The 13,837-nt window shown below is 37.3% G+C and overlaps 1 long non-coding RNA gene across 2 annotated transcripts in view; it reads left to right on the forward strand.

Moving 5' to 3' along the window:
- Positions 1–13,837, forward strand: part of TTC28-AS1 (TTC28 antisense RNA 1) — an 83,304-nt gene that overhangs the window by 3,571 nt on the left and 65,896 nt on the right. Inside the window, exon 2 of one of the 2 annotated variants that reach the window (NR_026963.1) lies at positions 12,205–12,284. This is a non-coding gene — a long non-coding RNA (TTC28 antisense RNA 1). Of the gene's footprint in view, positions 1–1,400; positions 2,018–12,204; positions 12,285–13,837 lie in introns of those variants that run through there. The other variant, NR_026962.1, reaches the window with a different exon arrangement.

Below are 13,837 nucleotides of genomic sequence, written 5' to 3' on the forward strand. Positions count from 1 at the left end.
GCCTGCCTTGGCCTCCCAAAGTGCTGGAATTACAGGTGTGAGCCACCGCGCCCGGCCCTGTTTTTTCTTTTTTCTTTCTTTTTTTTTTTTTTTTTTTGAGACTGGAGTTTTGCTCTTGTTGCCCAGGCTGGAGTGCAATGGCACGATCTCGGCTTACTGCAACCTCCGCCTCCCGAGTTCAAGCTGTTCTCCTGCCTCAGCCTCCCGAGTAACTGGGATTACAGGCACCTGCCATCACGCCCGGCTAAATTTCTTTTGTATTTGGTGGAGGCGAGGTTTCACCATGTTGGTCAGGCTGATCTTGAACGCCCGACCTCAGGTAATCCAGCCGCCTTGGCCTCCCGAAGTGCTGGGGTTACAGGTGTGAGCCACCGCTCCCGGCTCATGTGTACATTTATCTAAGGGAGAGGTTTGTAGCTTTCATTTGCCTTGCTTTCTCTGCGTTTTGCCATCCCATTTCTTTTTATCTTCTGCACATTCCAGAATGATCTTGATTGAGGATCTTTCTATGAAAACTAGAAGTATTCCCAAGAATGCTTTAATTTTGTTAAATATCAGGGCGTAGGTTATAATATTGTATCACTCTGGGACGGACAGGGTTAGGCTTTGGAGTAGAAAGACCCTAGCCTCAATCCTGCACTTACTCTGCCACTTACTGTTCTGAACCTTGAGAAAATGACTTAATCTCTCAGAGATTCAGTTTACACTGAAACTCAGTTTTACACATCTGAAAAAAGAGGACTATTAATATCTGCAACAGATTTAAGGACTAACAAATATGAAGTATATAAAGCACCTATGTTATCTACTTTACTGGATACATAAGTGTTCAGTGAATGGGAACCATTTAAAAGCTTACAAAAAGCAGGAACAGTAATTGAAGATATCAGTCTATAGAGTAACCACTATGTTTATTCATTATTTGTTACTCTAATACTTGCATAAGAACGTATATGTGCATTCATGCGTGTATACATATTGGCCATCATTACCTTTTGTCTGTTGTGTATAATACAGATTCTTGTTCTTCTGTGTCATCACCAACATGTAATATTGTCAGAATTTTTATTTTTTGTCAGTTTATTGGTTTTAAAACTCTTATCTTGTGTTCACTTTGCATTCCTTGCAGGTTGAGGATGTTTTGTTTTCTGGTCTTAGTCTCATTCTTCCTTCTTTTTCCTGTTGGTCTTGTTCTTTTCTTTTTGATTTGTAGGGTATATTAGGATGGTGCAAAAGTAATTGAGGTTTTTGCATCGTTGAAATTTGTCATTTGATACTGGAATACCCTCTTAAACCTTCTTAAATGTGGTTATGTTATACATCATTTTAATGGGCATTTCTCACTTTGTTTTTTTTTTTTTTGCTAATGACTTATTACTTGCTGTTTATATTTATTTTAGACTATGGAAATGATATTAGACAAAAAGCAACTTCAAGTGGTTTTCTTATTTGAGTTCAAAATGGGTCATAACGCAGCAGAGATAACTTGAAACATGAACAGCGCATTTGGCCCAGGAACTACTAACGAACATACAGGGCAGCTGTGATTCAAGAAGTTTTGCAAAGCAGACTAGAGCCTTGAATATGAGGAACACAGTGGCCAGCCATTGGATGCTTCACTTCTTGAAGCATCTTGACAGCTTTTTGCAGGTGAAATGCTTCCACACCAGCAGGATGCAGAAAAATGCTTTCCAAGAGTTTGTTGAATCCAGAAGCATGGATGTTTATGCTGCAGGAATAAACAAATTTATTTCTCGTTGGCAAAAAAGTGTTGATTGTAATGGTTCCTATTTTGATTAATAAAGATGTGTTTGAGCCTAGTTATAATGATTTAAAATTAATGGTCCAAAAATGCAATTACTTTTGCACCACCACCAACACACACACACACCTACACATTCTGGATTTGAATTCCATGTTGATTATATGCACTTGGAATATTTCTTTTCCATCTGTGGATTGTTCTGTCACTTATTTTCTTTAATAAATGGGTTTCTGAACCTCTGTTGTATTGACATTTTGGGTCAGATTATTCTTTGCTGTGTAGGCTGTTCTATGCCTTGTAGGGATGTTCAGCAACATCCCTGGCCTCTATTGGCCAGGTGCCGGTAGTACCCCTCCAGTCATGACAGTCAGCAGTGTTTCCAGACATTGCCTAGTTTCTCCTGGGGGGCACAATTGCCCTAAGTTGAGAACCACTGGTTATAGTGACTTTGTTGTGTAGTTATCCTGCTAACATTTTTTTATTATATGCCAGACAAGCCTTAAGTGTTTCATATGAATTAATCCTAACTCATTTACGCATCACAACAACATATGATGTAGATATTATTGTCCCTATTTTAAAGAGGAGAAATCTTATGTCCTCTAATATGCAGAAAATGTTAACTTTACCAAGCTATAACTTACATATAAAATGCACCTATTTGAAGTGTACAGCTGTAGGGTTTTGTTAAAGGTATACTCAGACTTCTGTAGAGTTTCATATCATTTATCATATAGTCCTTTTTGTATCTTCTAGCATAATGGTTCTGAGATTCCTGAATGTGTGTCATTCAGACCTTTTCATTGCTCAGTGGTATTCCTTTGTGTGGATATACCAGAAATTTTTTATCCGTTTACCTAGTGATGGATTTTTCAGTGCTATACAGTTTTTGGTCATGATAAAGTTGCCATGACTAGATGTATAGAAGTCTTCCTGTGGATATATGTTTTCATTTCTGTTGGATTATAAGGTAAGTGTATGTTTGGGAGAAGTGGCCAACAATTTACAAAGTGGTGGTACCATTTTGCATTCCCAGCAGCAATGCATGAGAGTCCAGTTACTCCACATCCTCATCAACACATTTTAGCCACTCTAGTGGAAATGTGGTATCTCATTGTAGTTAAATTTGCAGTTCTCTGAAAACTAATGATGTTGAGCACTTTTTCATGTACTTATTGGTCATTTGTACATGTTTTGTCAAGTAACTATTCAACTCTTGCCCATTTTCAAATTGTTCTTTTTCTGTTTTTGAGTTGGAAGAGTTATTTGAATATCCTACATATAAGTCCTTTCTCAGATGTTTGTGTTATGAGTATTTCCTCCCAGTCAGCTGCTTGCCTTTTCATCTTGGTGGTATATTTCAAACAGCAGAAATTTTAAGTTCTGATGAAGTCTAGTTTCTCATTTTGTTTTATGGTTCATGCTTTCTGTGTACTTCCTGAGAAATCTTTGCCTAAGCCAGAGGCACAAAGATTCTTATTTTACTATGTTTTCTTCTGCAAGTTTTAAAGTTTTGGCTCTTACATTTAGGTCTGTGAGCCATTTCAAATAAGTTTTGGTGTATATGTGAGGTAAGAATCAAGTTTGATTTTTTTTTTTGCATATGTATATCCAATTGTAGCCCCCATTATTAAAAAGACATTTCCTTTACTCATTTGTTGAAAATCAGTTGACTGTGTGTATGCGGGTCTGTTTCAGGAGAGTGTTCTGTTCCATTGGTCAATATGTTTATGTAATACCACACTGCTTTGATTACTATAGCTATATAGTAAGTCTTGAAATCGGGTGGTTTATTTCCTCCAGTTTCTACATTTTCAAAATTGTTTTGGCTCTTCTAGGATTTCATTTCATTAATTTGTTTAAAAAAGAACCCTGGTGGAATTTTTATGGGACTTTTCATTCAATCTATAGAACAATTGGGAAGAATTGACATCTTAATATTGAATCTTTATAAATGGTATATCTCTTCATTTATTTAGATCTTCAATGTTTCTCAGCTCTTGGCAGCATTTTGTAGCTTACAGGGTATAGGCTTTGCAAATATTTTGCTTTATCCTTAAGTATTTTGTGGTTTTTTAAAAAAAATTGTAATTTTTAAAAATTCCTCAAGTATTGATAATATGTAAAGATAGACTTGATTCTTGTTTATTCCCCTTGCTGGACTTACTTGTTACAAGAGTGGTTTTGTGTGTTTTATAAGATTTTCTATATAACAGTCTCTGAGTAAAGACAGTTTCATGTTTTTTTCCAATCTTTATGATTTTTATTCTTTTCCTTTATGGCACTGGTTAAGAACTCTAATACTGTTGCTGTAAGTGGTGAAATCAGTTTATTGATCTTTTTTTTCCCACCAGCCCATGTAGAGAAAGTTTACCAATTGGATAGATGTTTTTACCCCGTTCTTTGATTTTTCTCTACTTATTTTCAGTTTGATTGATTTTTACCTTTTATTACTTACCTCTGCCTAGTTAGTTTTGGTTTAATTTTTTCTATTTTTAGCTTTAAGATAGAAGCCCATATCATTGCTTTTAGACTTTCTTCTCAAATATAAGCATTTAAACATATAAATTCATCTCTAAGTTCTGGTTTAGCTGCATTTATATTTTTATGTTTTCATTGTCATTCAGTTCAAAGTATTTTCTAATTTTTTTTTAACTTTGGACTATTTGGAAGTATATTAATTACCAAATATTTCAATATTCTCCACATTTTAAAGTTTCAGTTTAATTTGCTTACAGTCCAAGAATATACCCTGTATGATTTTAATCATTTCAAATTTATTGAAACTTATAATCTAGTTTGTTCTTGCTTTGTGTATTTTGAGGTTTTGTTAGTAGATCCCTACACCTGTAGGACTTTTATGTTTTCTTGATGAATTATCCTCATTATAGTTGTGGCATACTTCCCTTTATCCTTGATAATATTCCTTGTTCTGAAGCCTATTTTGCCTGATATTAATGTAGAGTTTCAGCTTTCTTATGATTTGTGTTTGCGTAGTAGGTATCTTGTTATTCCTTTTAACCTTTTTGTCATTGTAGTGATAGTAATTTGTACACAACATATAGTTGGACCTTGCTTTTTAATCCAGTCTGATACTGGACCTTTTAAGTAGAATGTTAGGCCATTTATATTTAATATAGTTATAAAATGGTTGGGTTAAATCTACCAATTTTTTTATGTTTACTGTAGAGCTTATAAGATGTATCTGTAACTTACCACAGTCTACCATTAACCCTTTTCTTAGAAAAAAAAAAAAAGGTGCAGCTCACTGCCAGCACTCATTTAATTTTACATAAACATGCTTTTTGAGGATGAAGCAAATCTGATTTCCAATGTGAAAATAAAATATAAAAACTGTTCTTGGAGTTATTTCTAAATAGAACTAACATCAGAATTGTGTGAATCATTAGAATCATCTATTTCAGAAAAATTGGATTTATCAAATTTTTGGCCAACAACTGTTCAAGAACAATGTTAACATCACTCATAGGAATGCTATGTATTCTAGGATTTGACATTTTCAGTGATTGAGAATTACTATATTTTATAAATGGAAATACCACTACTAAAAACAGAATGCTATAAATAGAATGATGTCTTTTGTTTCGGGAGTCAATATTACTAGAGCAATGCAACAATAATTATAAAAGTGAGATATTTTGTGGCAAAGGTATCTCACGGTAAACTCTGTAGCTACAAGTGCTGCCAGCAAGTATTCTTGGGGCAAATGGGAAAAGGGTTAAATGGAATTAAACTGTTTCACATAAAATGTAAGAAACAAGAGTATACTTTCATCTCTCTTCTTGTTTTTACAATCTCACAAAACATCATTATTTTGCTTTAAAACAGTCAGTTATTGGCCGAGCACAGTGGCTCACGCCTGTAAGCCCAGCACTTTGGGAGGCCGAGGCAGGTGGATCACTTGAGGTCAGGAGTTCGAGACCAACCTGGCCAACAGGGTGAAGCCCCGTCTCTACTAAAAATACAAAAATTAGTCAGGCATGGTGGCACATGGCTGTAATCCCAGCTACTGGGGAGGCTGTGGCAGGAGAATTGCTTGAACCCGGGAGGTGGAGGTTGCAGTGAGCCAAGATCATGTCATTGCACTCCAGCCTGGGCAAAGAAGTAAGACTCTGTCTCAAAAAAAAAGAAAAGAAAAAAAGTCAGTTATCAACCAGGTACAATTTCTCATGCCTGTAGTCCCAGCATTTTGGGAGGCCAAGGCGGGAGGATCACTTGAGGCCAGGAGTTTGAGACCAGCCTGGGCAATATAGCGAGACCCTATCTTTCAAAAATTTTTAAAATAAAACTGAGAAAATAGTATTTTCTATTCTCTTGCTAACATTTGTTCAATATTTACTTTATGCTGGGTATTCTAAGTGCTTTGCATGATTTAATACATTTAATCTTGTAAGCAAACACATGATGTAGGTACTACTATCTATTTTACAGTTAAGCAAAGTGAGAGACAGCTAATTAACCCAAATTTAGTCAACTAGCTGGAATGTGAACCCAGCCAGTCTGGTACCAGAGCCTGAGTTTTTAACCACTTTGCTATACTGCCTTCCTAAATTGACCATGACCTCCAGTATAGTTTCAAGCAGAACATATAAAAGTAGGCATTTATTTTTTTTAAGAGACAGGATCTCCCTTTTTCACCTAGGCTAGAGTGCAGTGGCGTGATGGTAGCTCACTCCAGCCTCAAATTCCTGGACTCAAGGGATCCTCCCACTTCAGCCTCCCGAGTAGCTGGGACTACAGGCATGTACCACCCCACCTGGCTAATTTTAAAACTTTTTTTTTTATTACATGGGGTCTCACTGTGTTGCCCAGGTTGGTCAAACTCCTGGCCTCAAGTGATCCTCCCTCCTTGGTATCCGAGAGTGCTGGGAATATAGGTAAGAGCCACCATGCTGGACTGGACTGGCATACTTATCTTGATCTTGACTTTAAGATGCTTCCAGAATCTAAGTATGTTTGCTACAGGTTTTTGGTAGCTGCCCTTTATTAGATTAAGGCTGTTTTCTTCCTAGTTTGAGTTTTTGTCATTGTTCAGTATTGAATTTTGTGAAATGCTTTTCTGTGTTGAAATAATCATGTTCTGCTTTGTTCTGTTCGTGTAATCTATTCCATGACTAGATTTTCTGATGTTGAGCCATCCTTGGATTTTCAGAATAAACCTTAGCCAGTCATCATTTATGTTATTTTTTTTTTCCATTGGTCAGCTGTGATGTTAGGATAGGTTTGCTCAATAGTTCAGGAAATTAAAATGATGAAGCTGAGACAGATTTATGAATAGTACTGATTTTAATTTCAAATAATAGATGAATGGCTTATTAGCTGGCTTAAAATGAAGATGGCCTATGTAAGATATATCACTAATTTTATTTGAGAAGTCTTCTTAAAGCACTTATTTTTGAGTAGATAAGACAATCACATTTCATAATTCAAATTGTATAAAGGAATGTATACAGTGATACCCCTCTTCCATTCCTATCTCGACACCTCCAGAAACCAATATTACCAGTTTTTTTGTCCTGGAGATTTTGCATATATAAGCAAATATATTTATTTTCTTTGTCCCTCTTTAAAAAAAAAAAGAACATGAATTGCAGTATACACGCTATTCTGCATCCTGCAGTTTTTCTTGATCTTGAGGAATGTATGAGACAAGGTTCAGTCAGAGAAGTGGAGCTACTATGTGTGTTAAGACATATGGCATTCATCAAATGAATTGGCCTTTACTCAGTTGGAGTTGCTGAAGAAATGAAGGTCCAGAAGGGAAAGGTGGAGAATGAGAGGAGTCACTAACCAGGCTTTCTGAAGGATTAGTGTGGTGAACAAGTCAGAGCTTGTTAGGGAAATCTGGGAAACAGTCACATCCAGCTGCTGAGGTGAGATTGCAGAAAGGATAGTATGCTTTCAGGAAGAGCGGGATGTGAAATGGAGGAGAGTGGGGACAACCTAAAGCTTTCCACATACCTTTGTGAGTGTCCATCACTATCCTAATCCTGAAATCTTCATTGAGTCACGTCTGTTGCATTGTTCCTGCCTTCTAAAATCTTGTGCAAATTCCTCTTGGCCAAATCTTACTCAGAGCCATACAAGGAAGGGGATTCTGGAAAACAGTTCCAAGCTTAACTTTACTAACCCAGCACAGTTCAGCACCAAGAGCATGCTGTATTGATATGTAAAGGCAGCTTTATCCCCCTGCCCTTCTTTTTATTGTGGTAAAATACACATAACATATAACTTATCATCTTAGTGATTTTTAAGTGTACAATTCAGTGGTTTTAAATACATTCATCATATTGTGCAACTGTTACCATCCATCTCCAGAATTCTTTTCATCTTGTAAAACAAATTTTGTGCCCATTAACAATAATTCCCCATTATAAGTAGAATCACAGCATTTGTCTTTTTGTGACTGGCTCATTTCACTTAGCATGATGTCCTCAAGGGTCACCCATTTTGTAGTGTTTTGCAGAATATCTTTCCTTTCTAAGTTTGAGTACGATTCCATTGTGTGAATATACCACATTTTGCTTATCCACTCACACGTGGATGGACACTTAGCCTGCTTCCACATATTACCAATTACAAATAATGCTGCCATAAACATGGGTGCACAAATATCTCTCTGAGACCCTGATTTCAATTTTGGGGTATATATCTGGAAGGAGAATTGCTGAATCATAAGGTAATTCTATTTTTAATTTTTTGAGGAATTGCCGTACTGTTTTCCCCAGTGGCTGTTGCCATTTTACATTCCCACCAGCATGATGGGGGTATGGATTACTCCACATCCTTGCCAACACTTATTTCTGTTTTTTTGATAGTAGCCATACCAGTGGTTGTGAGGTAGCATCTCTCATAGTTTTGATTTGCATTTCTGAAATGAACAGTGATATTGAGCATCTTTTCATTGCTTTTTGGCCATTTGCTTATCTTTGGAGAAATGTGCATTCAAGACCTTTGCCCATTTTTAGTCAAGTTTTTTTTTTAATTGTGGAATTCTCTATTCTGGATATTGTTCCCTTATCAGATATATTATAAATATTTTCTGCCATTCTGTTGCATTTTTACTGTATTGTAGTTTTTAAATTTTATAAAATCCAGTATGTTTCTTTTTTGTTTCATTGCCTGTGCCTTTGGCATCATATCCAATAAGTTATTGCCAAATCCAGCGTCGTCACACATGTAGGCAATTATACATTTCAGGTTTTGTTTGTTTTTTTGTTTGTTTTTGTTTTTTTTTTGAGACGGAGTCTTGCTCTGTCACCCAGGCTGGAGTGCAGTGGCGCAATCTTGGCTCACTGCAACCTCCGCCTCCCAGGTTCAAGCAATTCTCCTGGCTCAGCCTCCCGAGTAGCTGGGACTACAAGTGTGTGCCACCATGCCTGGCTAATTTTTTTTTATTTTTAGGAGAGACGGGGTTTCACCATGTTAGCCGGGATGGTATTGATCTCCTGACCTCGTGATCCACCCGCCTCAGCCTCCCAAAGTGCTGGGATTACAAGCGTGAGCCACCACACCTGGCCGTTTTGTTTGTTTTTTTTTAAGAGATGGGGTCTCACCCTGTCACCCAGGCTGGAGTATAGTGGTGCAATTATAGCTCACTGTAATTTGAACTCCTGGACTAAAGTGATCCTCTTGCCTCAGCCTCCAAAATAGCTGGGACTGTATTTGGGACTACAGGCGTTTGCCACTATACCCAGTTAATTGTTTTTGTTGTTGTTTTGTTTGTTTTGTTTGCTTTTTGTAGAGCCAGGATCTTGTATTGCCCAGTATTGCCTTGAACTCCTGGCCTCAAGCAATTCTCCCATGTCAGCCTCCCAAAGCACTGGAATTATAGGCATGAGTCATGGTGCCTGTCTCATTTTAACTTAATTTTTGTATAGGGTATTAGGTAAGGATCCAGCTTCATTTTTCACCTGTGGATATCCAGTTTTCCCAATGCCATTTGTTGAAAATTCTGTCTTTTCCTCATTGAATGGTATTAGATAAAAATTATTTGACCATACAGGCAAGAGTGTATTTCTGGGCATTCTGTTGTGTATATGCAGTGTGATTTAAATTGTCTCCTGTTGGTACCCACTTAGGCTATATTCAATAGTTGCTATTATCAGAGTCCTGCAGTAAATACTCGTTTACATAGATCATTTCATGTAATGTATAAGTGTAACTATAAGAGAAATTTCTGAAAGTGGAATTGTTAAAGGGTAAGTTTAACATATTGCAGTTTTTACATATTTTGTCTAGTTTTCCTTTAAACTGTACCAGTATACACTTCCACACACAATGTATGAGAGTACCCATTTCCCCAAACTCTTCAACATCGTATTTTCAAACATTGCTTAAAACCTTTTGGTTGTATGATATAGTACTGTAAGAAACACACTCACCCATCCAAACCCGAAGAATGGACTTAGAGGCACGAAGAACAGCGAAAGTGAGACTTTAATAACGATCTTGCAAGGTCGGGTGTCTGAGCAGGTACATCCAGGGAAGTCACAACAGGTAATTTATCTCCTAGCACACAAGTCCCTCCACGAGTTCTGCATTGGTTGAGTACTATGGGGTTACAATCTTCCAAGACGTTGCCTAAGTTTCATTATCCCCCTTATAAGGTTATATCCCGTCCCTTTCCCTGCTTAAGTTTCGATTTCCTGATAACGAAACTTTCTTTCCTTTTACGGGCTGAACCCTCCTCTACATTCTGTTTGCTTATTGTGACCTAGGTGCATTAGCCAGGCATTTTGTCACATTTGCAGGCTAGCTGCCAATACTTAGATTTATCATGCCTTGAAAATTGACCATTTAAAATATTTTCTTACTGTACAAATACAAAAAAGTTACATAAAACAAATTAGTTACTGTAGGGAGATCAATAGTTGTTACCTCCACCAGGTCAAGAAATAGACCTTTGCCAGTCTTTCCATAAGTCCTTCATGTACTCTGTTCTAGTCACAATTCCCTCTTCTCTAAAAGTAACTGCCTAGCCAGGCATGGTAGCTCATGTCTGTAATCCCGGAACTTTGGGAGGCCAAAGAGGGAGGATCACTTGAGCCCAGAAGTTCAAGACTAGCCTGGGCAACATAGTGGGACCCCATCTCTACAAAAAAATAAAAAAAAATTATCTGGGTGTGGTGGCATATGCCTGTAGTATCAGGCACCTGAGACAGGAGGATGGCTTGAGCCCAGGAGGTCCAGGCTGCAGTAAGCAGTGATGGCGGCCACTGCACTCCAGCCTGGGTGGCAGAGTGAGACTCTGTCTCAAAAAGTAACTGCCTTCTTGACTTTCATGGGAATCACTTCCTTCATGCTTTTGATCACCCTACTGTGTAGCTCCTAAACTCTATAGTTTCTTTTTTGTTTCTTTTAACCTACATGTAAACCTGTTCTTTCACCCCACTCTCCCACCTACCATACAACTTGTTGAGGAAATTGAATTGTTTGATAGAATTCTCTGCACTCTGGATTTTGCTGCTGTTAGATCTTATTATGGTTTGGCTGTGTCCCAACTAAAATCTCATCTTAAATTCCCACGTGTTGTGGGAGGGACCTGGTGGGAGATAATTGAATCATGGGGGTAGGTCTTTCTCGTGCTGTTCTCCTGATAGTGAGTCTCATGAGATACAATGGTTTTATAAGGGGGAGTTACCCTACATGAGCTCTCTTCTCTTGCCGCCACCATGTAAGAAGTCCCTTTCGCTTTCCGCCATGATTGTGAGGCCTCCCCAGCCATGTGGAGTTGTAAGTCCATTAAACCTCTTTGTTTTGTAAATTGCCCAGTGTCAGGTATGTCCTTATCAGCATCCTGAAAACAGACTAATACACATCTACAGGCTTGACTAGGTCCAGTTGGAATATTTTTGGTAAACTTACTTCTTAGGTGGTAATGTGTTCTGTGAAAACACATATATATAGCCAAGACAATGGGAAAATTAAAAAAAGAACAACACATATATATTGTCTCTTTGTGGTGATAGCAACCATTACTGCTAAATCCTTAGCTCCATTAATTTATTATGGACTGGAAAATGGTGACATTCCTAATCATTTCTTAATTTATTGGCTGGAATATTTCTGCAAAGAGAAGCTGGTCATTTACTAGTGCAATTTATATAAGAAAGGCAGAATAGACCCTTGATTTTTGTCCCATTATTTACCAGTTCTCAAATGCAAATGTTTCCTGTTATCCTCAAAAGGTGATCAGTTACTGTTTCTTAATGTGGACTTAAACAAATCTGAAATACCGATGTCAATTTCACTTACTGCTCTTATTGCTCAGAATGTTCTATCTTTGGCCAGTTGAATCCCTTCAAATTGTCTCCTGAATCCTGCTGATGTGTTCCTGGTAAGTAGTCTTTGACAGCTTCATTGGTATAACAAGATCTAGCACAAAAGCTTATCTCATATATTTTCTGCCGTTCCAGACTGGAATCAGCCATTTTACCAAGAAAGTTGGGTTTCTTTTACTGGCAAATAGTACTTCAAGAGCACAGTCTTATGTAAGGTAAGTCATGGCTTCTGGATTTGTAATCGTTTTTTGGCCTTTTTAGTTGCTAGGGCGAAAAAATTTTGTACACTTAAATATATAGATAATGCATAGGGATATCGATTATATAAATATGACAGGAACACTTAATGTATTATGTGCATACAGTTGACCCTTGAGCAACATGGATTTGAACTGCACAGATCCACTTATACATGGATTTTTTTTCAATAAATATATTGGAAAATTTTTTGGAGATTCACAATGATTTAAAAAAAAAAAACACTTGGCCGGGCGTGGTGGCTCACGCCTGTAATCCCAGCACTCTGGGGGGCCGAGGCAGGTGGATCACGAGGTCAGGAGATCGAGACCATCCTGGCTAACATGGTGAAACCCCATCTCTACTAAAAATACAAAAAAATTAGGTGTGGTGGCACACGCCTGTGGTCCCAGCTACTTGGGAGGCTGAGGCAGGAGAATGGCGTGAACCTGGGAGGCGGAGCTTGCAGTGAGCCGAGATCACACCACTGCACTCCAGCCTGGGCAACAGAGCAAAACTCCGTCTCAAAAAAAAAAAAAACTTGCAGACTGTGTAGTCTAGAAATATTGAAAAAATTAAGAAGTTTAGTACGTCATAATGCATAAAATGTGGATATTAGTCCATTGTATCATTACTGCCATAAGATATACACAAATCTATCATAGAAAGCTAACATGTATTGAAATTTATACACACAAACACAGATCATACATGATGCCATTTGCAGTTGAGAGAAATGTAAACAAAGATGCAGTAATAAATCATAACTGCCTAAAGTTAGCTGTAGTACATACTGTGCTACTGTAACAATTTTGTAGCTACCTCTTATCTTTATTGGTGTGAGCTCAAGTGTTGTATCTTTAAAATGTAATGCTAATCATCTCCATGTGAGCAGTGTGTCCCGGTAAATTGCATATCATAGTAAAAAGTTATGCCTTGTGGTTCTCTAGTATTTTTTTTATTGTATTTGGTGTAATACTGTAAACTTTGAGTAACACATTGCAAAGTACCACTAGTGATGCTGGAAGGGTTCCCAAGAAGCAGGAAAAAGTCATGACATTATAAGAAAAAGGTGTATTGCTTGATGTGTACTGTAGATTGAGCTCTGCAACTGTAGTTGCCCACCATTTCAGACATATACTTCATTTTGTGACATAAACATGGTATCAGTAAATACATTACTAATATTTTCTGTGCCTAACTTTATTGTAAGAATACAGTACATAATACAGCATAAGAATACAGTAAAATATATGTTAGTTATCAGTAAGGATTCTGGTCAGCAGTAGGCTGTTAATAGCTAAGTTTGCAGAGAGTCAAAAGTAATATTAACAAATGGATTTTTGACTGCACAGGGGCTGGCACCCCTATTCCTAGAGTTGTCTAAGAGTCAACTATAAAATTTATGTATCATCTAAATATGTGACTTAACATATTTTGTTATAAATAGGTATTATGTACAAATAGACTAAGCATAAAAATTATAAAGTATACAAAAATAGCCTTTTTAAAGATGAAGTACCTTATGACT

This window comes from Homo sapiens, chromosome 22 (genome assembly GCF_000001405.40).
Source record: "Homo sapiens chromosome 22, GRCh38.p14 Primary Assembly".
Taxonomy (NCBI): Eukaryota; Metazoa; Chordata; class Mammalia; order Primates; family Hominidae; genus Homo; species Homo sapiens.